The following is a 27,416-nucleotide window of genomic DNA, read 5'->3' on the forward strand; positions in this document are numbered from 1 at the left end:
AATCACTAGAATTCAGAAACTGATACTACTTCTTTTGTTTCATTATTTGCCTCCCTGCCCCCAACACTCATACATATTTAGAGACACCCATGGACACTCATGAACACACATATTCTTCTTTCTAGTCCCTTATCAATGGCAAACTAAAGTTATTTTAGAATATACTAGCTGTCATTGTGCCACAGAGAAACCTCTCTTTCATGCAAATTGATATATGTATATAATCATACATGTTTATATATAAACTTTGTAGCTTTCCTCCCTCTTTTCTAAAATAAATTATGAAAGGTTGTATGTTCAGGCTTCACGCAGAATTTTTCATTTGAGGGAGACTTTTTCAACCCTTTCTATTTGAGTTGGTAGCCATTTATATGAAGAGAAAATGAATACTAATGGAAAATCCTAGAGTGGATTTGGAAAATCATTATAACAGTTCTGCTATAGGTTTGGGCCTTTGACAAACCACCTATTCAAGGATGAAAAATCCACTATTTCTCTTCTGCATTTCTTTTTCCGAATACAGCTAGATTGAATAACAGGCCAGATAAAGGATTCAGAACAATTGCTTTACTAAGTAATAGTGAGCCCATGTTCTAACCAATGGGACAGAAACTGACCCTCTGTATCTCTGACACAGTTGCCTTTCATTGACAGATTTACAGTGGAGGGGTTGGGAGAGCAGATGAATTAAAAAAAAACAAAAGCAAATCAAGATCCCCCATAAATTTCACGATCCCCACATCTTCCACCTCAGCACCTATTAGAACACCTTACTCTTAAATTCTGCACATGTGGAGATTTATTTGTATCCCAGAGGTTTGCTCAGATGTTTCCTCTGTGCTTTCAATGCAGGCCCACCCTTTTCTTTCTTCATATTAAAACCATATAGATTCTCCTTGAAGCCTTCTCAACTGGTAATAATCATTTACATCCTTGCTAGTGCTTATGATTTTCGAATTACTTTTAGATAATCTAACTCAGCGATCTCCACACAACCTTAGACACTTAGCCCGGCAAGTATTGTGCTTTTGCTTTCATGGATGAGAAAAAGGAGACTTGGAGTGCTTTGATTAGCAAACAAGGTTACAGAGCTAAAAAAGGAGTGACACTGGAGTAGATCCCAGCTTAAATGAAACCCACTGCTTTACCTGCCCCTATAGCCTGCATGATATTTCCCTATTCTGAGTGCTTGGAGCTCTTGGAGTCTCTTACATCTAATGTGATCATTAAGAGGTACTAACTGTCTGATTGCTTCTTGTGTGCAGCTAACTCACTGGTGACCCAGCACTTTGGGAGGATGAGGAGGGTGGATCACAAGGTCAGGAGTTCGAGACCAGCCTGGCCAACATGATGAAACCCCGTCTCTACTAAAAATACAAAAATTAGCCAGGCGTGGTGGCATGCACCTGTATTCCCAGCTACTTGGGACACTGAGGCAGGAGACTTGCTTGAACCCGGGAGGCAGAGGTTGCAGTGAGCCAAGATCGTGCCACTGCACTCCAGCCTGGGCGACAGAGTGAGACTCCATCTCAAAAATAAGTAAATGAATAAATAAAAATAAAATAGATTGAGCCTCCACATTTTGCATGCAGCTTTCTTGGTGCTTGTCCTTCTCCTGTGCTTACTCAAAGATGGGACATTGTGCACAATGAGAAGAGTATTGGGACCAGTAAGGAAGAATGAGTCAGATATTGTGGGACCTCTTTTTTTGTTGTTTTTTTTTGCTCCCAGAAATCTTTGAGGTAAGTAACATAGTCAATTGAGGTCTGGAGTTATGTACTCCATTTATTCATTTTTTCTTAACATAGTCCCTCCTTACTATGTGATATTCTCTGTCCTAGACCTTGAAAATACAAGTTAAATATGGCATATTCTTTACCTCTATGAGCTTAAAATTGAGTGGGGAAAGTTTCATTTTTTCTTTGAAATGAAAACAAACTTAAGTACCGATATGCATGAGAAAAATAAATTGTTCATTTCTTTACCTACATCTCATCAGGAGTAAACACATTCTCTCTCTGGCTAAGCCAAATATACCATAAATCCCTCCTAAAAAAATACCCTGAAATTGAGAATCCAATTTTAATGGCTAAATTATATTTACCTTGAACTGAGCATTTTCTATTAGGATTTACGTATGCATCTTGGGGATTCTGAATGTTGGACTTTTTTTTCTTTTTTCTTTTAGATTTTAACCTGAATGGAAAAGACAATATGAGGGTGATGAAAGACTCTAGATGGTCCGTCTTGGGTAAGAAGAGAAAAAAAACATTCATTCCACTTATATCCAAGGTGTTTCACAGATGATATGAAATACTTTTGAATGGCTCAGCTCTTTAACTAATTCCTTTGATAAATCCAGGAGTCAGAACTTAGAAATATACAATAGACTTTTTCCTAATCAGCAATGGCACAGGTGGAAATGTGTCCTCTGTGAGTGTATTCAATAGTCACTCAATGGCCTTTGACCAACATACTACCTTTTAAAATGCAAGATCCTGCAGTCAAAATTTCTGCTCACATTCTCAGAGCTGTATCTCTTCATCACTTATTGGACTTAAACTCTATTGTCTTCGGCTGATTTTTCATTAGGGTGAAGGGTCATTGACCAATCATTATGCATAAATAACTGGGAAATTTAGTGGTGAGCCTTCAATAGTGGAAGTAGCATAAAATAACAGCAATCATACCAAGCTCTATTGAGAGAGTCCTCAATGGAAGTAATATGAATGGGGATAGGGAACTAGGGGTGAGAGGGCAATTCCTCTGGGAGTTTCATCCCAGAGGAGACTTCACTTGAACTGAACTCCAAAGGATGAACAGAGTTTTGCACTACAAAAATTGCATAGATATAACAAGCTAACAGAACAATCCGAGCAGGTAAGAGCCTGGGCCATGGCTTTGTATCATTATGCATAGTTTGGAAGAATATTAATATTGATTCTCTGTACCATTTTTGAGTATATTCATCAGATCCATTGCTTGGTGTTAATTGCATTTTGTCAAACAAGAGCCTTCCACACAATTTAGGAGACATTTAAATACTAGTTGATATATTTTACAAAACTGTATTCTATACTCAAAATCCAGAGTTAAAATTGAGGCCCATTTCTTTTCCATGATGTAATACTATGTTACTTTAGTGGCAAATTCTCATATTCCTTGAAAAGCTCATCATCTTGAGGTGACAGTTCAAAACTGCCTTCATAAAATTAGGAAGATCCCAGAAAGCTTGAAACAGAGAACAGTTATTCCCATGATATATGATCTTCCTGGGCCTCTACCTCATAAACTTCTAACTTCCTTTCAAATAGTATAGAAAGGCCGATTTTTCCTCCTTTGTACACAACATTCATTTTTTTCCCCTCTCTCTGGGCTATTATTTATTATTTAACTTGGTTACTGTATTATTTAAAGAAAAAAGCAGTTTGCAATATTGCCTGTATGGGAGATTCTATAGAGGGTAAAGTAATATTGATTGCATTGTAGCTATTAACTACTGTTCCGGAAACAAGGAAGGAGTATAAGACACTGAATCAGGGCAAGAAGTACATTCACCCTCCTACAAGCTAAAAAAGAAAAAAAAGGTAGCAAACCACCTTCCAAATTATTCACAAACTTTAGAATTTCTTCTTCAAGGTCCAAAGAGCCAGCTTGAAATGTTAAGATAATTGGTGAACTTACAGGAATAGAAATGGCCCTTAAGGAACAAAAAAATTTCTCATACTTTTAGAGACTGTAAAAAGAATGACCAAGCTTCCGTAATTTTGTTCTAGTCCACATTTTCAACATTAACTACTAAATCCTTTATACAAATGCACTGTCTATTTAGACTGCTTTTCCTAGAACCCCATACATCTTTTTCTGGTTCTTTCTGATGATCATATCACCCCTTGAAAAATCCAGATTAAAAAAAAAAGTATGAATTTACATACACTTATATTCCTTGGTCTTTCTCCATAAATATACCTGGATCTCTCTGTTTTGGTTGTAAGTGTAGAAGTTGGTGGAATCCTATTTCCAGTAGGGGTTAATTAACCAAATGGGAATTCTATACATTGGATCTCACAATGGAATATTTAGAAATAAATCTGTAAGAAGGCCTGGGAAGCATAAAGGACCCAGGGGGAGAAAACACAGTCAATAAGGCTAGAAATGGAAGAATCCCTTTTAAAAATCAAACTGAGAAAAAAAGAAGCAGATGTCAAAAGCTCGGTATGAAGTCAAGTCACAGGGACAATGAAATCCAGAGTAGGGAACAGAGGTCAAGAGATTAGGGGAGGGGTTATTTTTGGGAAAAAAATCAAGAAGAGTGTAATTTATCACTGACATTTAATTGGCCTCCATGGTGAGATGCATGGAATTACCACCAGTATTTAAAAGGCTATAGACAAGGAAGACAGAATCAATCAATCAGATTTCCAACTGAACTTATCCCTCTGTTAAGTGTTGTAGCAACAGAAAATACATGCTTCCTTAAGGGAAGTTAGAAGACCAAGGTAGCATATGAATCAATTAGAAAATACTGTTTCACCGTACAGAATACTGGTTTCTACAGTCCCTCTAAAACACCCTTGCTCAAAGTGATTGATTAGTAAATACTTGTTAAATAAACCTAAGAGCTGTTTGTGTTTTCTAGATTCTATACACTATAAAATTAGAGGGGAGAAGAAATTTAACAAGGGTAAAGGGCAAGACAGATCTAAAAGGAGATGGAGCCTGAACTATGCATTTGATAGTAAAAGATAGGGGCAACAAGAAGGAAGAGAAGAACAAATGGGAGAAAAATGAAAAGGGATGAGTAAAATAATGCCTCAATAAATTAAATCATTGCTCAGATGTTAAGCCAAAATTCCAGAGCCTAAAACCCAGTTGTCTAATCCTATTCATTAGTATTTCATCCAAAAACGTACACATTTCTCTCCTTCACATAATACCTCACTTAAATGTTTCTGGTATTCATTGATGAGTATCACATAAATGTCCTTTCCTACTTGCCCATGTACATATGAATGAATCACAAAGCCTTACCCTCTTGAAGCCAGGCAGGTCAGAGCTCAAGAACGACCTTGAACAAGCTATTCTTTGAACTTCAGTCTCTGCATCCTGTAAAAGGAGAAGGTTGTAGTCCTCTGTGGTTTTTAAATCTAAAGCAAACCTTCACCACATAGTATTGTTTTTATTTAAATGATTTCAGTCTGAAGATATACACATATAATGGTCAAAATGAATATGTTGATTTCTGTACAAATTAATGTTTTTTGCTATTTGCACTGATAAAATTGAAACAAACACAATGATAACAAAGTAGCTATTTAACTTAATGATCATTTAATTTTTCTTTTGATAATGCATGTTTTTATCTGGACTAATACGATGTAAATTATAACCAACAAGTTTTAAATATTCTCTCATTTGAAGCATCTGCTCAATGAAGGAGAATCGCAGATATGTGAACTCCTCCTGCTTCTGCTGTTTGTAGGAAGAGGCAGACTTGAAACCCTGCATTGTCTGTGGCCTAAACATTGCACAGATGATCAATTTGTGAAATAAGGGATTTTTTATTTGTATTTGCCTAAATAGAGAAACGCTAATGGTGTGTTCCATCAATTAAAGAGAAAAGAAATAAATCTACCAATACTACTGCATTTGTTCATTCATAAATTCATTCATTCATTCCTCATTCATTCATATGCTAGATCTTTGTAATAAAAAATTGAAAAAAAATTAAACTCTTCATTATAAGTCTCATCCTAGGAAGACAGACAAGTACACATATGATAAGACAAGAAAATTAAACTTTCTCAAGTGTTAAAGAGCAAGCACCATCATATGTGTTTTTTAATATCACATTGCGTTTAATCTAAATGCGCTAAGGAAACACAGGGCCAACCAGGGAGCTTGATGTAAGTTTTTTGATAAATCTTAATAGTGAAGAATGGGGTGTAGATTGTTAGAAAAAGACAAATCCATGGGGATTTGAATGTTATTCGTACTGTTTTGAGTGGACATAAGACAGTCCTGTGTAACTAGAGAATAAAGTACGTTTAGCACCGTGATGGGAGAAGAGATGAGAAAGATAAGCTGGATCAAATGACTTAAAGGACTTGAAATCCATCTTAAAATAAAGGCTTCTACGATAAAAAAAAAGGTAACTAAAATCAAAGTGCCAAAAGGAATAAGAAAAAGGTAAGTGAAATCAAAGTTTTCTATTATAGAAGGAAAATGAGTTGTTATTTATAATGAAAAATTGGAGAAGACAGAAACTGGTTAGGGAGTGGTTGACATACCCCATAACATGAGGATCTGAGGGCCAAGGTATTATGGAGAATGGAATTATGGAGGATAGGGCGAGACAAGAGACATTTCAGAGAAAAAAAGCTGTGCTCCACAACCAGCTGTACTAGAACTTGCTATTGTTCTCTGACGCCAAACCCTCCATTGGGGTAAGCTATGTTCAATCACCTTCATCTCGTAAGTGTTCAAGTGGGCTTTGCAGGAAAATTGGTATCTACTACTTCAGGAGGGAGACTCTTTAACCCAGAAGAAGGCAAAAAAAAAGTTTGAGCTGCCAAGTCTTATTTGTGTTTAATGTATTTTATCGAATTATCTTGAAGACTCAGTTCTTAGTTCTGTGTCATAAATATGAACACTATATTTCCTCCATTTGGGAATTTTCAGTACTTTCCTTAAAAGGAGGCTAGCAAAATGTAGTTTTTCTACAAACTCACTTACATGGGTTGAAAGAGGAGTTTATTTCCTAAGATGTACTATCTTGAATATTTATTTTAGATAATTATTTATGCTTACAGTGTCCACAGAAGACCTCCAAACCCTGATACTTATGAAAGTCTTTATAGGAATATGCCAAGGAGAGTTGAATGGCCCATTATTTTATGTTATAGACATTCACTGACTGATCTCGAGGCTTATCATAAAGCTTCAGTAATCAAGACAATATGATATTGGTGAAAAAATGGACACATAGATAAATAGAACAGAATAGAGAGCTCGGAAATGGATCCATACAGATATAGTCAACTGATCTTTGACAAATGAGCAAAGGCAATTCAATGGGGAAAGGATATCTTTTCAATAAATGGTGTTGAATTAATTGGATATCCATGTGCAAAAAATAAATAAAATAATTTAAACACAGATTTTACATCTTTCACAAACATTAACTCAAAAGGGATTATGGATCAAAATGTAAAACACATGACAAAAAAATTTCTAGAATACAGGAGAAAATGTAGGTGACTTTGGGTTTGGTTATGACTTTTTATATATAACATCACAAGCGTGATCCATGAAAGAAAATATTGATAAATTGGACTTTATTAAAATCAAAATCTTCCTTTCTATGAAAGACATTGTTAAAAGAATGACAAGGACATAGACTAGGACAAAATATTTGCCAAACACATATCTGGTAAAGGAATTGTGTCCAAAACATGCAAATAATTCTTTTTTTAAAAAAAAATTATGTATTTAATTGACAAAAATTGTGCACATATATAGTGTACAACATGATGTTTTGAAATATGTATACATTGTGGAATGGCTAAATCAAGTTAATTAACATGTATTACCTCCTATACTTATTTGTGGTACTGACACTTAAAATCTACTCTCAGCAATTTTCAAGTGACATTGTTATTAACTATAGTCACCATGTTCTTCAAAGAACTCTGAAAACTAAACAATAAAAATACAAACAACCATTTAAGAGTGGGCAAAAGATAGGATCAGACAGTTTAATAATAAACATATGTAGATTGCAAATAAGCCTATAAAATGATGATTACTATCATATGTCATTAGGGAATTGAAAATTTAAAAACATAATATATGAATACATGCATTTTACAATGTCATATCTAAAATACTGACAATATCAAATGCTTAAATTAGGAGGAACAGGAACTTTCATTTATGGTTGGTGACAATACTAATAGTACAGCTACAATGGAAAAGAGTTTGGCAATTTCTTTGTTTTTGTTTGTTTTCTTTGTTTTGTTTTGTTTTGTTTTGTTTTGTTTTGTTTTGTTTGAGGCAGTCTCACTCTGTTGCGCAGGCTGGAGTGCAGTGGCTCCTTCTCGACTTAACTGCATCCTCAGCCTCCTAGGCTCAATCTATCTTCCCACCTCAGCCTCTGGAGTAGGTGGGACTACAGGTGCATGACCACCATATCTGGCTCATTTTTTGTGTTTTTTTCTAGAGAGAAGGTTTTGCCGTCTTGCCCCAGTTGGTCTCGAACTCCCGGGCTCAAGCAATCCACCTGCCTTGGCCTCCCAAAGTGCTGGGATTACAGACGTGAGCCACCATACCCTGTCCAGTTTGGAAATTTCTTACAAAGCTAAACCTAGTCTTAGAATACATTCCTGCAATTGTTCTCTTAGGTATTTTCTCAACTTACTTGAAAACTTCCATCCATATAAAAATGGGCACTCTCTATACAATCACCTCAAAGTGACTTTAATCCTTATTAATGTATGATTCTTCACACACCTCCGGAGTCCATTATTGAATATTTTATAGTTCAGGGCCTTTTAGCTCCTAAGCATTCTTCCCACTGGGCATCTGTTCCTGTAACGTGGATTCACACTGCATATTCAGTCCCGCTCAAACTGACCAGCGTTATGATGTGTTCTTCTCTGCAATGTGCCCTCAAACAAAACGAATTGAATCCTTTCATGTTTTTACATTTCTTTAGTTAATTATTAGGAGGTATTGGAGTTGGTGCTACCCTGTGAATAGAAAATGTAAGAGGATATCTCCGGATACTCCTGCCCCCTCTTTGAAATGTGACCATTTTGATGTGGAGGAAATTGTGCTGCTCTTGCTAAGTTAGCCAAAGGAATTGATCTGCTTGTAGAAAGTCCACACTGACTATGAGGCAGACCTGCAAAGGCTGATGGGGATACTGTCTTGCATTGGGTTAGGCAAAGCTGAGTCTTCCTTTATATTAAAATATTATGAACTGGCACCTAAAGAGCCAACACTCAGAACTGACCAAACCCAATCAAGATGTTCCCTTGTTGTTACTAAATTATACTAATTTGAATTTACTAATACTATTCCCCAAAAGGGAGCTATATTTACATTCTCCTATTACTGAAGTAACATCAATAGGTCAGAGGGAAATGGAAACGTTCTTATTTTTCTTTATATATAAGATAGCTGAGTGAATAGGTGTTCTCACGTCTATCTCTAGTGTACCTTATCACTTTCGAGTAGATATGGAATAAATACTTAGAAATATTTGTGGAAATTACTTAAATCGTGATTGCACAAATAAAAATAAGTTATGCAAGGAATGATTAAAGAGATTTGAAAGCTTTATAACTCCTGGTGATCTGGTGAAAAGATGGTCGTGTTTAAAAAATCTGAGTCCTATCAAATGAAATAGGAAATAGACATCTCTTGGAGGACATAGCTAGTTAGTCAAAAAAATGGAGGTCACGAATAACTCAGTAACAGGAAAAAATTGCAATAGTTAAGAGCTGCCAAAAAATACACAAAGTATTTTTCTGCATCCTTAAACTCCTGGGCTCAAGCAATTCTCCAGCCTCAGCTTCCCGAGTAGCAGGGACCACAGGTGCAGGCCGCCTGGCTAATTTTTAAAATGTTTTGTAGAGATGAAATTTCCCTTTCTTGACCAGGCTGGTCTCGAACTGCTGGCCTTAAGTTACCCTCCTGTCTCAGCCTCCCAAAGTACTGGAATTACAGATGTGATTCACTGTGCCTGGCCAAAAATACGGTATTTTTTAAAACAAAAAGTATTGGGATCATCCATTAACCCTTATAGTCTAAAAATCATTCATAGGGATCAGACATAGAGAATAAAACAATCAATTTTTTTTAGTAAAGCTGACTGGAACACTTGACGAGAATTGTTTCTGCATTGGTTTCCTAATTTGCTATTCTAGCACTTTAGTACTTTGCTGACACTGTCTATCCCAGACAAAGCTAATTTACCATAGAACTCTTCAACAGGAATCTGTCTCAAGAAGTTGACATCATGATGAAACACAGAGCAAAAAGTACCCTCTCTACACATAGGGGAGCCAAAAGAACAATCTAGAGGTATTGGGCCAAACACTCTCAGGTTCTTCTACATTCTCAAAGCAGACAACCCTTTCACCTCCCATAGAGAAGAGTAAGCAATGGTCCTGGAGCATAACCACAAGTGTGTCAATCACATGGGTATCTTGTTAAAGTGAAGATACTGATACAATAGGTCTTGGCTGGGATCTTAGATTTTGCATTTCTAACAAGCTACCTGGAAATTTATAAGCCTCTGGTCTATGAAGTAGTTAGGAGATAGAGAGTCCAGGATGGTTACTGTGGCACGTCTTCCCATATTCAAGCAATGACTTTGACGCTAACTACAACATCTTGATTGAATTGGGTGCTCTGCTTCTCTGATTTTCTGCAGAGTGCAGGACCAGAAGCAGTTATTTTTTGCACATTATAACTGGCTAATGTCACAAAAATCAGTAATTGCTGAAATCTTGACAAATGTGCCCCAACATAACCATAAGATGATAATTGAATTAAATACTCATAAAAGATTGAGATTTGGAACTGTTGATTCCAACTCTTTTACACTTTTCATATATTCTCCCTTCTGGCTCTAGAGGGTTTAAGTATTTTTAAATTAGCTCATTCTTCCCCTAGAGGTCTTCATTTCTTCATTTGTTTTATTTGATCACATTAGCTTATAAGCTGCCTCATATATTTTTGGAATGTGTTTGGGGACATAAATACAATAATGAAATTAGCATTTCCTCCTCCAAAAGTTGAGCTTCAGAGTGGGTTATGCTTATCTGTCACCCTTACTTGCTTCATCCCAGTGCTCTGCATATAATAAACCCTTAGTAAATATTTCTTGATTGATACATACACTTGAAAGTTTTTATTACTTGTATGTGTCTGAAATATCAGGGTTCTCAGATCGAATTCTTCTTTCTCCCTTTCAAACTTTATCAAATCTTTGTTATTTAAAGTGCTATTAAGTATCTCAAGTTTATCCTTTCAGTTTGGAGGTGATCATCTTCCATTCTGGGGGAGATGGGTCCTATGCCCCAACATTTGCGCACTTAATTAAAGCACAAGGGATGCTTAATTAGTGTAATAAATGCAATTAGAAATGTCTGTAATGAAGAAACTGTTGCTTAATTTTTAGAGCCATAGACAGGGGCAGCCAGATGGGTTAATTAATGAGTGTTAACTCTCCTTTGATAAACACTTTGAGCTCTGATTCAATGAGACTATACAAATGTCATACATTGTTGTTATTATGTTTAGGTAGAATAGCACTGGGGCCCCACTTCCTTAGGCCTCTCCATTTAACAGCTTTATTCTCAAGCTGACCTTTGCTTTCTCCAGGTGTAACTCTTTTGCTTATTTTTCCCAATAATAACTTAGGGTATACTCAACTGAAGAAAGTAAACGTCAATTTCCAAAATTTTAAGAGATGTATTTTCATTTTGACTAATACACTGTTTCTTCTGTGAAAGAAACCCTTTTGGCTTTCACTGTTGCTAAACTCTGTGAGTGCCAACACCGCTTTGTGAATGAAAAAGACTACCATTCTTCACAACATGCCACTGTATCTCACATTTCCATCAGTGATTTTTGAGCAACTATATATTCTTTGATAGAAGTTGTAGTTACTTTTAATGTCTTTAATTAAAAAATATAAAAATAGATGAGCCTCTTTTTTATATTTAGTGTAACATATTTCTAGTTGGATAAAATTTCTGGTTGGATCAAATTTCTGATTGGAAACAGAATCGACTCGTACGTGAGCTTGAAATGATTAGAAGAGTTAACTCTGGCTCTAAAGGCACGATCCATGACCTCCTCTCTTGTATTCGCACACTGAAAATATCCTAGTGGCACTGAGTGCCAGGAGAAAACAAAGGTCTGTGGCCCCTATTGCTCTTTGTCAGGCTTTACATAAAAGTACTGACTGCTATAATAGAGAATCAGCTTGCTAAAACATAACAAGAGTCTGCAGCTTCTAACTCAGTGAAACTCTACTTAAGTTATTATATGCTTGGATGGCTGCAAGAACAACAGATAGCTATGTAATTAATGCAAACCATGTCAGCTTCCTTCACTTCCTTCTTGTCTCCATGCAGACCAGTAATGAGGTGTCTCCTGGCACACAATCACAATGCACTGACAAACCATCTTGGTGTGTGAAAAAGACTCAGAAAAATCCAAGCAATGTGACACTACTAGCAAGCATAGTTCCACTTCACCAGAGACTTCAGGTCATAGTTGGGCCTAAGGCAGAGTCGCTTGGCTGGAGAAGTCATTATTTATAGGACTATAGACCAAGTTTCATGTCTGAGAGGCTCTTACGTTATTACATAGAAACAAAATTTTGTTATCTATAAGAATGATTTGCGTCTTTCTCCTTACGTTAGTAATCCTAAGAAAATATTGAAAATGAATCATTCTTTAAAACAATTAAACAATTTACTGATTATTTTCACCACTATATGATGCACATGTGCCTACCAAGAAATCAGATATTTTCTTGTGTGTAGCTTCATTCAATAGAGTAAAATAGAAAACTTTTATTATTAATAAAAATGTGAAATTCCATGTCATATACTATGATGTATAATCTTCTATGCTTCATTGTGTCTATCCTTTAGCATCACCATTGACTGACTTCAAGAGTACACTTTCCCCTTACATAGCTGTGCTAGTTGCTACAGGTAATATTTAAAAGCATAAAATACAGTCTCTGACTCTGTGCTTTAACTTAATCCAGTTGGAGAAACAGAATATGTGTAAAAAGATGAAAAATTATGGAATTTAATAAAATCTAATTCCAAATGGAAAATATAGGCAAGAAATATGATAAGACATCAATACCTGAGAACAAGATTACCATTGGAGAGGGTAGACCAGGTGCAGTTTTTCTATGACTAGTAGACTCCGAAAGAAGGGAATTCTAAACAAGAAGGTATGTGGAAGAAGCAGTATATTTTAAACCCTCAACTCTTGTTAGAAAAAACAAACATCCTCTGAGGACTTCCTCATAGGTAGCAATATGATAAGCAATAATGCTCTGCATCAGGAATGAAATTAGGTATTAAAGGAGGGAAGATCTAACAAGTAGAAGTTATAATTACAGACCTTGAAACTCATGTTCTAGATCAGCGGTCTCCACCCTTTTTGGCACTAGGGACCAGTTTTGTGGAAGACAGTTTTTCCACGGACCAGGGTAGGAGATGCTTTTGGGATGATTCAGGCACATTACATTTATTGTGCACTTTATTTCTATTATTATTACATTGTAATATATAATGAAATAATTATACAACTCACTATAAAATAGAATCACTGGGAGCCCTGAGCTTGTTTTCCTGCAACTAGATGGTCCCATATGGGGATGATGGGAGACAGTGACAGATCATCAAGCATTAGATGCTCATAAGAAGCAAGGAACTGAGATCCTTGCAACCTAGATCCATTGCATGTGTGGTTCACAATAGGTTTTGCACTCCTGTGGGAATCTAATGCCACTGCTGATCTGACAAGAGGCGGAGCTTAGGTGGTAATGTGTCTGGAAATACAGATGACGCTTTGCTCACTCACCTGCTGCTTACCTCCTGCTGCGTAGCCTGGTTATAAACAGGCCATGAACTGGTACTGGTCTGTGGCCTAGGGGTTGGGGGCTCCTGTTCTAGATTTTTTAGAGAAGACTACCATGTAAAATGATAGTGAATAATTATTAATATTAATAATATAATAGGTCTAATTGCTAAATCATATATCATAAAATCTAGCCTTTATGATAATTTACCTTTTAAACAGTCAATAAAAACTGGAACAATCTAGTAGGGTATCACAGCGGTGATAGGTCTTAACTTGCATAATATTTGAATTTATAGAGAGAATAAATACCACATTGAAGTAAAGCACAAAATAAGCCATGAAGTCAGTACTCGGTATTGCATGTTCGTGAGACAGTGAAGAATTTAATTCAATTACAGACATGCCATAGGGAATAATGATTTACCAAACTTTATCGAGTTAAGTGATAAAAAGTGTTATGTTAGGTAGATTAATCAAGGGTAGTGGTTCCATTCTTTGGTTTTTAGATGCTAGGAAGGCTGTGGAAATAAAGTTGCATGTAGCTCCACATACACACTGAAACATGTATCTACCAAGCAATAAACATACTTTCAACATGTTTCCTTTAAATATGTATAAATAGGCCAGGCGTGGTGGCTCACACCTGTAATCCCAATAATTTGGGAGGATGAGGCTGGTGAATCACTTGAATTGAGGAGTTTAAGAGCAGTCTGGGCAACATGGTGAAATCCTGTTTCTACAAAAAAATACCCCCCAAAATGCTTATAAATATGACTACTACAATAAAAATAAATTTAATGAATATAATTTATTGTAATAGGCCATTCTATATTTTTTCAGTCAACAGATGTGATTATTATCTTACACTGGGAGATGCCTACCTGTCTCGTCTCCTCTCCTTTCCTCTCCTCTCCTCTCCTCTCCTTTCCCTTTTCCCTTCTTTTCTTCCCTCCTCTCCCCTCTCCTTCCCCTTCTCCTTCCCTTCCCTTCCCCTTCCCTACTCCTTCCCTTCTTTGCCTAAGCTGGAGTGCAGTGGCATGATCTCAGCTCACTGCAACATCCACCTCCCTGGTCCAAGCAATTCTCCCACCTCAGCCTCCCTAGTAGCTGGGATTACAGGCGCACCACCACATCTGGCTAATTTTTGTATTTTTTAGTAGAGACAGGGTTTCACCATGTTGGCCAGGCTGGTCCCGAACTCCTGATCTCAGGTGATCTACCCTCTTTGGCCTCCCAAAGTGCTAGGATTACAGGCGTGAGCCACCACGCCCCACTTTAATTTTGTATTTTTAGTAGAGACGGGGTTTCACCATGTTGGCAAGGCTGATCTCTAACTCCTGACCTTGTGATCTGCCCATCTATGCCTCCCAAAGTGTTGAGATCACAGGCGCGAGCCACCGCGCCCAGCCTCCTCTCCTCTCCTCTCCTTTCCTTTTCGCTTTTCCCTTTCCTTCTTCCTTCCCCTCTCCTCCCTCCCCTTCCCCTTTCCATCCCCCTCCTGTTCCCTTCTTTCCTTTGGCCTTGTGAAGTATCTATATATTATTTTCATTAAAGTGCTGTCAGGGCTGGGCGAGATGGATCATGCCTATAATCCCAGCACTTTGTTAGGCAGAATCAGGCAGCTCACCTGAGGTCAAAAGTTCGAGACCAGCCTGGCCAACATTGCAAAACCCCGTCTCTACTAAAGAATACAAAAATTAGTGGAGTGTGGTGGCATGTGACTGTAATCTCAGCTACTCAGGAGGCTGAGGTAGGAGAATTGCTTGAACCCAGGAGGCGAAGTCTGCAGTGAGCCGAGAACTCGCCACTGTACTCCAGCCTGGGAGACAGAGTGAGACTCCATCTCAAAAACAAAACAAAACAAAACAAAACAAAACAAAACAAAACAAACAAAAAAATTGCTGCTAGCCAGGCATAGTGACATGCACCTGTAGTTGTAGCTATTTGGAGGCTGAGGTCAGAGGAAAGCTTGAGGCCAGAAGTTTGAGACCAATCTGGGCAACAAAGCAAGATCCCATCTCTAAAATACAAAAACAAACAAACAAACAACCATGCTGCCAACTTACATTGACATATGCTTTTTAATTATCAAATATAAAATGTACAGACTAAATGCTCAATATATTTTCATTTGTGTTGTTTGTTATTGGTTTACTGAGTTATGCTAACCTAAATATGACCATTAAAATTGCTGAATTTATTTTTTTCTTAAAGTCTTATTAATTCAGAATCTACTTCTTATTTGAAAAGTTATAAGATATGTACATATTAAATATGTAAAGCCCCTAATGGCACTAGGATCTTCTTATTTTATTTCTCCCTACAGAATTAGACTATCTTTCCTTTGTCAAATAGCATTTCTAGTATATTTTTGAAGACCAGAAAATAAAGACAAAGAGCTTAGGATTTAGCTGAGAGTGGCACATTTTGAAGCCAAAAGAGCTTGTTTCATATACCCCACACTTTGGATTTTCATCAGTTACAAGATGTCAACTTGCTAAACACAAATGTTCCATCCTCTAAAAAGAACAAAATATTAAAAACAAGATTTGATGAAATAGAGTAAATAAGATAGAAGTGATATAATGAAACAACTGAAATTCATGATGTTTTATTACATTCAAATAAGAGAAACACAACTGGGTTCTCAACTTTCCTACCCACTCCAATCACAGATCCATCTAGTCCCATAACTTATTTCTGCAACATTAATACATACTTTTATTTCTCCAGAAATGGAGAATACCAGTGGATATGCTATTGATAGTGGAATATGTAGTAATTGGTATGTCAAACTGAATGTTTCAAGCTGAAATTGCACTTTGATCACTTTTTTACAAACTTTCCTTGCCAAGCTACTTGGGCAGGAAAGTACTCATTTAGCAAGCCTGGGTTGCTCAAACCTTGGACTTTCCAAAGGGAGGGCAATCCTCAGTGACCACTGGCCAGCTCCTGGGAGATAATCTGTGAGCTTGTAAAATATTTTACCTGATGAGATTGATTTGGTATGCCTGAGGTCTTTGGCCAAGCAGACCAGTCTGACCATGTAAGTTCATTCTGATAATGTAGTTTTTGGTAAATGCTTGTGTTTTTTTCTGGAGGGAAAAGTAGTCTGGAGTCTAAGCAAACTAAATGTCAGACATGTAGGAGCTACATGGCCATGAGACTGAACCCCAATAAAATCCATTGACACTAAGGCATGGGTAGCTTCCCTGGTTGGCAATGCTGCACAAATATGGTCACACATTGTCTCTGGGTAACTAAGCACACCTCCAGAGGACATGTGGAAACATGTACTTGGTGTTCCCTGGACCTTGCCCATGGGCCTTCTGCTTAATTGATTTTCATCTGTAGCCTTTCACTGTAATAAACCATGGTAGACAAATATAAGAGTGTTTTTGAGTTCTAGGAGTCCTTTCAGAAAGTCATCAAACCTGTGGGTGGTCTTGGGAACCCCCAACACACTTCTTTTGTCTACTTCCTACTTCTCAGTAAAGATGTCCATAATTCTGTCCTCATTTCTTTTCTTCTAAACTCCAACACTTATCATCAATACAAATTGTAAAGACTTTACATAATCACTATTTAGATTATTATTGTTTGATATATTATTTATTTCAAAGTTAAGTAAAATTCTTATTTTAGCACAAATGCTGTGATTACTTTTTTTCCCAGAAGCTTGCAATGCCTTAATCATTAGCACTGACTAGGCACTCAATTTATGCTTTTACATTAATGATTGGCCAACAAACTGATGAGATTAATAGTGAACTAGGAACATCTATTACTGACTGGTCTAATTATGTTTGACAGCCAATAGCATTGATTTAGAAATACTCTAGGTTGCTATTACTGAACTGCCTAAGCACTGATAAAGCCCATTATAGCCAACTTGTATCTATTCCTTGCAAACAATAAGCACCAATATTTATGGAATGAATTTGCAAAAAAAAGAAATCTTCTGTTGGATTTTGCAAGAACCTTTGTTGAATTTTCTATGAAGACTCTAGGAAGGACAGACTTACAGAAATTCTGAGTTTGAATTAAATATTTTAGGCTGGAGGATTATTTCATGTATCTGAAATAATCTTAATGTTTAGCTCAATCAGTTACTTTTCGTTTATTGATGTAACACATGATTTAGTGGTTATTTAATATGGTATAGCAAAATTTCTCTGCTACATTGGAATTAACTCGAGTGTTTGTGAGTATTAAGCAGAGGTTATCTAACATCATATTTAAAAAGAAAGCATATGTATTCGTGTACAAGCTTGCATAGATCATAAAATTCAACTCGACACAGCCATAGACAAAGGGTGGAGCATCAGGTATAATTAGCCTAATACAGCTAATAAAATGACAGAAATGGGGTTGAGAACAGACAACTTTTTAAAGTTTAGAATCGTATGCAGATTTTTGGTTCATTATCTGAGGTGAGATTACTCAGAAACCTGAGATAAGCATTTGTGTGCAGCGTGATCTATTAGGAAATGTGTTCCTGGGAGAAATAGATGAGCTTGAGGGATGCTAAGCAGAAAAGGGAAGGACGCCAAGCAAGAGTACAGTTTTAGGCAAAGAACTGCAGAAGGTGACTTCAGCCTGATTTATAGGGGGATTAGGATGTATGAAGTACACCTCAGATTTGCCAGTTCTACAGGCAAGGGAGCTGAGCTTTCATACCATTGAATTATTTGCCAAGGGCTGCCCCAGGAATCCAAACTCCTAGGTACTTCCCATTCTCTCTGAGGACAGGAAATCACCCCCTTTTTTCAAGGATATTCCTCTGAAAAGAGTCAGAGGTACAGGCTATTACAAGCAAAATAAAGCAAACATTAAAAAGGATCCAAAGAGATCCAAATAGAGCACTGACAATATCCACTACCAGGTAATAAAAATACATAGCTGTGCTATGTAAACATGATCAGTGGATTATCTGTGCTTTAAAGAATGAAATTCAAAAACATGCTGAAGGAGGACTTGAGAATTTATTGAAATAAATTATCAGGTTTTAAACAAGTTGTCTTGTTAATTATTAGGAGGTAGAGGTGGATGTGGGGTTTGGAGGGAACCCAATGGACAAGAGAAAATAATTCAGTGAAAGGGGAACATCCAGGCAGAACCAAGAAGAAAAGTGTTTAAATCAACTCAGAAGATCTTTGTTGAGAATATGTTTTCTTATAGAACAAATATACTATAGGTCCAGAGTTTGACTCTGGGACATGTGAATTCTTTGGTTGAGGAAGGTAACTTAAACCTACAACACTTTGGAGTATGGTTATTCAAATAAATAGAAATTAATTTAAAAACAGGTCTTATAAGTGCTACATTTGAATAGTCCAGAGGATATATGAAGAAATACTTTGAATATATTGTTTTTGTTTTGAACCCTTATTTGTTTCTGTTTCTCCTGTAGAGTTTTCTCTCCTATTGGGTTCTGTGAGAACTTAGGAGGAATTTGTCTTGAAGATTATGGGAAGGACAAGGTGGTAGAGAATTAGAATTTCTGTTTGTAGTAAACTTTAAGTATGACTTTTAACATTTCTCCTTTTCCTGTACACATGGCCCTCTTCAATGTGGTTTTGACATGAGGTGTGTTTTCTCACTCCTTCTGGAATGGCTTTGTGACTTGCTTAGACAAATAACATTAGGTGAATGTAATTGGGTACAATTTCTAAGCTTAGGCCTCAAAAACCTTCTGGCCTCTATTTCTTCCTCTTAAAACCTGGTGCTATAATGTGAAGAAGGTTGAAGAAGCTCTAGTCTTCTAGAGAATAAAGCCTTGTAAGAGTAAATGTTTTAAGTCTGTCATCTCCAAGTTAACTCATAGTAGAGTGCAGTCACATAAATGATCTCAGAATAGACCAACAGAAGAAACACCCTGCTGAACCCAGACCAAACTGCTGGCCCACAGAATTGCGATAAAATAAAATGACTGTTGTTTGAAGTTACTAAGTTTTGGGGTGATTTTTAAGGGAGCAAATGATCGTTGGTACATTGTAGCACAACAGCATGAGAGAACACACAAGCATGAGGCTTGCTGTCTGGGTTTGCGTCATGTCTCCCATAGGCATCAGACAGAACACCTTCTTTTGAGCTTTCACACTAGCCTCTCTTGGGATATTGCTTAAAAGCCCCTCTTTGAAAAGCATGCAATCAAAATCAGGGTATATTTTAACCTACTTGTTCACCGCCTTAATTATACAGACAATCACATAATTACACATACCTTAAGCAATCAAACCCAGGAGATGCTCTGTAATATCCCACTGGGTAAATGCTTGGAAAAAGCTGTTGTGATAAGGAATTAAGAATAGATCAAGCCTATCATTATATGTGTTCATTACTTGTCTTTTTGTTAAAATATCTATTTATCTGTCAACCTATTATCTATCTATCTATCTATCTATCTATCTATCTATCTATCTATCTATCTCCAGTCAAAAAAAAAGAACTAGTTGAGTAATTGGCTGATGCCTTTATCACAGAGGAAACATCAACTCATTAAGTATGATGAACATATTTAATGTGTCTGGATCAGAACATAAGCAGTTAGCTGTTATCTATGGAGCTATGGAGCTAATTTAAAAGAAAATAGGCACAGTTACCCCTGCACATTTTCAACATACCATCAATGTCTTGCTTAGCGGAATTCTGAAATTGGTAGAAAAGCTTGTTGCCACCGGGCTTAAAGCCTTCCTCATCAGTCATGTTACAATGCTCTTGGGAGCAAACGCTCAAATTAAGATTATGAACACAATTCACTAACTTACCGATTGCCTTCTTATAAAAAAAAATTGCTGTCCTCTTGGCTAACACGTTTTATACTTGTTCCTCTGTTATGGTTTCCACACAGCAAGGAAGGACTTTTAAATAAAAGGGAGGACTTAGGGAGAAAGATAGCAAATGTAGATGATTAATGTCAGTCTGTTCTGAACTATTTGGTTGTTTTTATGTTCTAGTCTTTGAAAGATGCTGGAATATATGCCTGCTTGGCCAATTAGTCCCCAATAACTCTTCAGTGCCATAGTACTGTGTGTAGAGAAAACCTCAATGAAAAGAAAATGGACAATCAAGCTGGATAAAATACATCCCTTAAATGAGAACTACGCTATGTGAAAAAAAAATAGAAGAACAAGTCCTCAGCAAGTCAATGATCATAAGAAAAACAGTTATATTGACTAGTTATTTTGTGTGTTTGATGTACAATATGGAGAAATATTAGTAGCCAAATGAATGTGACACATTGACACAGATGCATTGTAAATATTATGCTATTGAGACCATAGATTCAGTTACATTCCTCTGATGAATGTGGATGCTTTCATTTCCTGTTTTAGAAGGCAACTAACCTGATTAATATCAAACTGCAAGCTCTGCCTTGTTTGCAGTAGGTGACTGCTCAAATTGTAGTTATTTTAGCCTCAGCTCTGAGATAATTTGTTTCTGTCCTGTTTTTCCCCCAACAAGTATGGTTCAAGGTTCACATACAGACTTGGCCAGAGTTCATATGCAGACTTTTAACTGCCTTCTTCCCAGGATTTCCTCTCCATTTTTGGGGTGGGTGGGCAGTGGGGTGCTGTGGTTGCACTGGGTCCTGTCATCTGGTTCTTACCAACACAAAATATGAAGGTTTTTAAAGGAGTTTCAGTTATTCTAATTATCCTGTACCTTAAGTTGTCTTTCTAATACCTAGTGCTGGTTTCTTCTAAATGTCAAATCTCTTACAAAAACTGTTCTGTCTCAGGAATTGTGTGTGTGTGATTGTGCATATTCAGACTTTATAGTTGTTACCTGCATGACTGTCAGTCTAGTAGGAATTCATTCCAGCCTACTAGAAGAAAAAGTTTATATATCAATTTTGCAGAAAAATAATCCAAATTGTATAGGATATTACTCAAAAAGAAAACTTCGGAAAAGTTGTTTAAATTTATAATCTTTTAGTTTTAAGCAAATATTTGTTAAACATGCTTACTTCTCAGTTAGTGGAACAGAAGAAAAAAAATGTAATGTCATCCCTGAACTCAGACACACAACACTTAAGAAATTACATTCAAAACATAGGTGCTTTAACTTGATAAGTACTTTAAATGCAATGCTATATCCATTGTTTTCAATGAACATAGCAACATTTTACATGCACAATATAATAATGTGGTAATTGCCAGAAATAGTCCCTTTTTGCAAATATTTAATGTAATTCTACAGGAAAAAATTTTAAGGCAGTAAAATAAAATGTATTTCACGATCTGCAATGATGTGTACCTTACTTTAGCCTTTTACTGCAACTAACTTCAGCAAATAAAATTTGGTGAATAATCTGTATTTTCTTCTTTTCTTTCTTTTTTTTTTCTTGTAAGCCTCTCTCCCTTCCTGTCTCCATTCTTTCCTACAAGGAATATTGGGTATTTATTATGTGCACGGCACATTCTAAAGCAGTGAAGATGAGACAGTAAATATTCCAGGGACAGTATCAATTACCTGAGCTTATGCTGTATTAGAGAGAAACAGAATAAATAAAATAAAATTAGACATTAATGAGTGAAATGCAGAAAATAAACAGCGTAATATGATAAAGCGTAATGAGATAACTTGCTTATATTGGTGATCATGAGAGCTCTTTTTGAGCAAGAGACTGAAAAACATTTAATGGTAAGATAGAACTTGCAGTGGCCCAAACTGAGAGGTAATCTCAAGCAGATGGCACAGCCAGTGCAGTGACTCTGGGAAAGAACATGTATCGGGTCATCTAAGAACTGACTGCAGGTCTGTATGGTTCCAACTGGAGAGAAGCTAGCAAGAAGGGAGGCATAGCTAAGATAGGTATCACCTGATTATCTGGACCTGTGTGTTCCAAGGTATGGGTTTATATTTTATGCTAATTGCAATAAATACTATTGAAATAATTTAACTCGGGAAAGTCTACGATCTGATTTAAAATTCCAAAATAATCTTGAATTATCTTGTGCGTGGAGTAATTTATAGGAGGGAGCAAAAGTTGAGGAACATGGTCTGACAGTAAGGTTATTAAAATATTGTAAGAGATGATGATGGCTTGAACTAAGATGGTCACAGAGAAGACATAAAACTTGGAAGATACTGCATTGTGATTTGGAGGAGAAAGTCAACTGGGCTTGGTAATAAGTTCAATATGGGAAAAAAGGAAAGACTAGAATAAAGGATGACACATGGATTTTTTGCTTAAGCAACTTGTTCAATGGTGATGCCATTGCTTTAAAAAAAGGAACAGTTGGTCAGTTGCGGTGGCTCACACTGCAATTTGGGAGGCCGAGGATGGTGGATCATCTGAGGTCAGGAGTTTGAGACCATCCTGGCCAACATCATGAAACCCCATCTCTATTAAAAATACAAAAATTAGCCCAGTGTGGTGATGGGTGCCTGCAATCCCAGCTACTCGGGAGGCTGAGGCAGGAGAATTTCTTGAACCTGGGAGGCAGAGGTTGCAGTGAGCCAAGATCATGCCATTGCACTCCAGCCTGGGTGACAAGAGCAAAACTCCATCTCAAAAAAAAAAAAAAAAAAAAAAGGAACAGTTGTATGGGGATATCAATAGTTCTATTTTAGTCATGTTAACTTTGTGGTGTTAATAGACATCCAAATGGAGATGCCATGCAGATAAAAGAACAAAGAGTTCTATAACTTACAGGTGAGGTCAGACCTGTAGAGCTTTGGGTGTTTAGAATATGTAGAAGGTATTTAAAGCCAGATGATTAGATGATATTCCCTAAAGAATGAATGTAGATATCAGCTAGAAAAGTGTCAAGAGTAATCCCTAAAATAAATAAAGAGAAAAAATTATTAATATAGACAATAGGTTAGTTGTTAGGGACTTTCATAGGAGCAGTTTTAATGTCATGGAGTGGCATCAGTTCTTTAGAGTAGGCTGAAGGGAGAAGGTAGTAAGAGAGAGGCGAAGAAAGAGGAGACAGATTTTAGATAACTGATTCAAGAATGTTTCTATATAAGGAAGCAGACAAAGACAGAAATGCTGGAAGAAGTGTATGTATATTCAGAAGATTTTTAAAATTTATTTTTTCTCTCTTTTCCCCCACACCTTTTGCCTTGCTTCTTTCTTCTTTCTTCCCTAATTGATAGAAGATACCAGAGTATGTTTCCATGCTCACTGGACTCACACAGTCATTAGGGATAAAATAGAGACAGTGGTGATGCTGGGGTGGGAAGAATAATTACAAGAACAAAGTTCTTTTGACAAGAGGGTGTAGAATCTAGAACATAAAGTGAAGGGATAGAGTCTTATAGGAACTTGGAAATTTATTGCTTCTGTAATACTTGGTATACTTTTATGCCATAGAATACGATTCAATTATTTTATTGCTATCATATATGCTGTGTTGTGTTACCTAGATCTTCTCCTTAACAAAAGAAGCACTCACTCCCAAAGGTGGGATTGGCACAGTCAACGATTGGCAGTTTTCAGCTGAGACACTTTAGAGGTTGTCTTGGTCTGAAGAGACCATCCAACCTCAAGGTCTTTTCCCCTTTTTGTTGGCAGCCTACATCCAATGATTGGTCAAAAGGCTACTTCATTTGCCTCAAATCTGGGTAACTACACACAGCAAATCCACCTCCAGAGTTCTCCAAAAGTCCATTGAATGCCTTTTAATAATTGCATTGCAGGCCAAATTGTGCCAAATCCTGCTTCTTTCACTCACTCATAAGTTTTGGCCTCGAGGGTGTTCTCCATCTCAGAGTCTGTTTTCTTAAAAGCCAATCTACGACAGTTGATACTAAGAATGACTTTAACAAAAGGTCATTGCAAAATTGAGATTTTGAAGCTCCGGGTCATCTGACAATAAGGCCACCTAAGGTCCGCCAGTAGTAGTTGTAGACGAACTGGTGACTTCTGGCATGGTCATTAGGGCAATTGTTAAAACTTTTATAGGTGTTGAACTGAGATGAACTGAAACTGACAGAAAGGAATGAACAAACAGTGCCCTAACAATATGGAGGAAATGATCATTATAAGGGCTACGAAATTTGATGGTTGATGCTTAGGGCAGTTTATATCTTGAGAAAAACAATAAAAGCCTGAAAGTGACTCAACACCAATCAAAGGCTAAGTTTAATTTCCAGACAGCACTCTTGTCACAACAGCAGGAAAGGCTAAGGATCAGATGTCTTACTGAATTATAAGCATAGCAGAGTTACATTCTCAATTTTAGTAGAGATAAATGGAAGTAGCGTGCCTGTAAGAAGAGGATGGAGACATCTGAGTTGATGTACTCAAATGTGAATGCTTTCATTCTTCTGAATCTTCTTGCTGCAGATTTAGTCCATTGTGTGCTAAATGCTAACACTTTCCATGCCTGAAGATAATGCAGGAGCTTCTGTCTTGAAAGACAACATGATCTCACTTCATTTTTTTTTCTGACCAATAGGCAAAAATAATTAATTCACAACATTAAGGGAACTGTTGGGACTGTCTGGAAAGGAAAGGTACCTTACCTTGAAAGAGCTAAAAACCTAGCCTTCATATAGGCAGGAGTCAGGAGAGTATGTACAGGACAGATGGTGATAGTGTTGATTCTGGGGGATAGAACATAAAGTTGGATAAGTGAGACTTTATTGAAATAGGAGCACTATTTGATAATACAAGATTTAACACTCCAGGCCGGGCACAGTGGCTCACACCTGTAATCCCAGCACTTTGGGAGGCCAAGGGGGACAGATTACCTGAGGTCAGGAGTTCGAGACCAGCCTGGCCAACATGGAGAAACTCTGTCTCTACTGAAAATACAAAAATTAGCTGGGTATGGTGGCAGGTACCTGTAGTCCCAGATACTTGGGAGGCTGAGGCAGGAGGATTGCTTGAACCCAGGAGATGGAGGTTGCAGTGAACTGAGATCACACCACTGCACTCCAACCTGCAAACCTGATGACAGAGTGAGACTCCACCACCCCCACTCCAAAAAAAAAAAGAGGCCGGGTTTGGTGGCTCATGCCTGTAATCCCAGCACTTTGGGAGGTCGAGGTGGACAGATCACGAGGTCAGCAGATGGAGACCATCCTGGCTAGCATGGTGATACCCCATCTCTACTAAAAAATACAAAAAATTAGCCAGGCATGGTGGCACGTGCCTGTAGTCCCAGCTACTCGGGAGGCTGAGGCAGGAGAATGGTGTGATCCTGGGAGGCGGAGCTTTCAGTGAGCCGAGATCGTGCCACTGAACTCCAGCCTGGGAGACACAGCAAGACTCTTCTCCAAAAAATAAAATGAAATAAAATAAAATTTAACACTCTAGAAAGGACCCTGGGTTATAATGCTAACATATTGTTAGGATAAATTTCAGAAACATGGAAACAGAAATGCCCATTTCAAATGACCTAGGAATGGCAAAACTACTGTGGAAGATGGGTAAAAAGGGGATCAAGAGGCTCAGAAATTGGATATGCTACCTAAAGTTAGAAAGACCAGAAAATGTTCATGCTTTGTTAGAGGATACAGAGAGGAACACTCTGCTTATCAAAACAATGAATTCATTTATGACAGTGACATAAGTGAATTATTAGCATCAGTGGCAGTGACTTCTTAGCATCACTAAGAAGCTGAGTGGTGGTGGTCCTCTGAGAAACAGGGCTGACTGTAGGAGATACTGTTATATAACTGAACTCACTAAAAACAATGGAATTGATAGTAGCCCCATTCAGTAAATGTCAGGTGTCAGCGTTCAACATTTAGAAGAGTGGGTATAGTTATCATCATATGCAGCAAAGTCACAGTGACAGCCAGTGTGTTCATAATTGTTGAGAGCTATAGAGATGGTTCATAGTGCAAGTCTTCCTAAGGGCTAGACAGGCTCCCGAGAATATTGCTTGAAGTGTACAGAAATAAAAATACAAGTACAGGAATCAGGAAGGCAACGCCTACTGTCTCCGTAAAAGTCATAATTCCTTTACCAAGATTCCAGACATCATTCATTTTTTTTTCTACTGCAATCCATTAACTGAAGGAGATACTGGATCTCTGTGGGGAGTAGCCCTACAACAACCTGGGCAATATATATGGTAATGATGCCTTCAGTCTTTCCCCAAAGACATAGGACCAAATGAACTAGAAGTGGCAAGTACATTGAAGGCCTTTTGGGACACAATTCTCTATGGGTCTCCAGTGTTTCTACAGCCTTGGAAGCACAGGCACTGGCTGCATTTATTCTGGACTATCTTTTCAAAAATGTATAGCAGAGAGTATTTAAACATATAGTTAGTGTCTCTCTCTAGAGCAGATGGTAGGTTTTTTTTGTTATTTTTCTGTCCATGGTGATAATGTCCAGGTCTTCCCTTGGGATATAGATCAGGCAGATTTACTACTCATTTTTAAAGATTTGGGTTTCTTAAGCTCAGGGTTGCTTGGCTGTAATGCAATCCCATTATGTGTACAGCTTGTTCCTAGTCCTTCTCCATCACTCTAATCAGCCTTGGTGGTCAAGGAGAACTGATGCAAGCATGATGCTCATGCTGCAGGCTGTGTTGTGAGTAAAACAATTCTTCATCTCTGATAGAGCAGTTTTTTGTCTTTATTCATTCAGCATTCACAAAACTGTTACAGGCTAATAATTTTAGCTTGCAAATAGGATAAAATATCGTATACCTTACAGCTTGTAAGAAGGCCTTCATAAGATTGAGAGAACTTCTACATCTGTAGTGTCCTTTAGGTTTAAAGGCCACCAGCTTTGGTGGAGTCTGGAAGTAAAAGGGGCTCTGCAGCACTTCTCGACTATAGAATCAAAGGTATTCTTTTGGTGATATTCAGAG

General features: G+C 37.3%; 2 long non-coding RNA genes across 2 annotated transcripts in view; one reads left to right on the top strand and one right to left on the bottom strand.

Moving 5' to 3' along the window:
• The window catches only part of LINC01902 (long intergenic non-protein coding RNA 1902), a 48,285-nt gene extending 32,491 nt beyond the window's left edge, over positions 1-15,794 (top strand). The window contains exons 7-9 of the long non-coding RNA NR_151703.1: positions 2,189-2,251; positions 8,222-8,316; positions 12,153-15,794. This is a non-coding gene — a long non-coding RNA (long intergenic non-protein coding RNA 1902). The remainder of the gene's footprint in view (positions 1-2,188; positions 2,252-8,221; positions 8,317-12,152) is intronic.
• LINC01901 (long intergenic non-protein coding RNA 1901) overlaps positions 1-27,416 on the bottom strand; it is an 84,572-nt gene that overhangs the window by 33,904 nt on the left and 23,252 nt on the right. The gene's annotated exons all lie outside the window — the stretch shown is intronic.

Source organism: Homo sapiens, chromosome 18 (genome assembly GCF_000001405.40).
Source record: "Homo sapiens chromosome 18, GRCh38.p14 Primary Assembly".
Taxonomy (NCBI): Eukaryota; Metazoa; Chordata; class Mammalia; order Primates; family Hominidae; genus Homo; species Homo sapiens.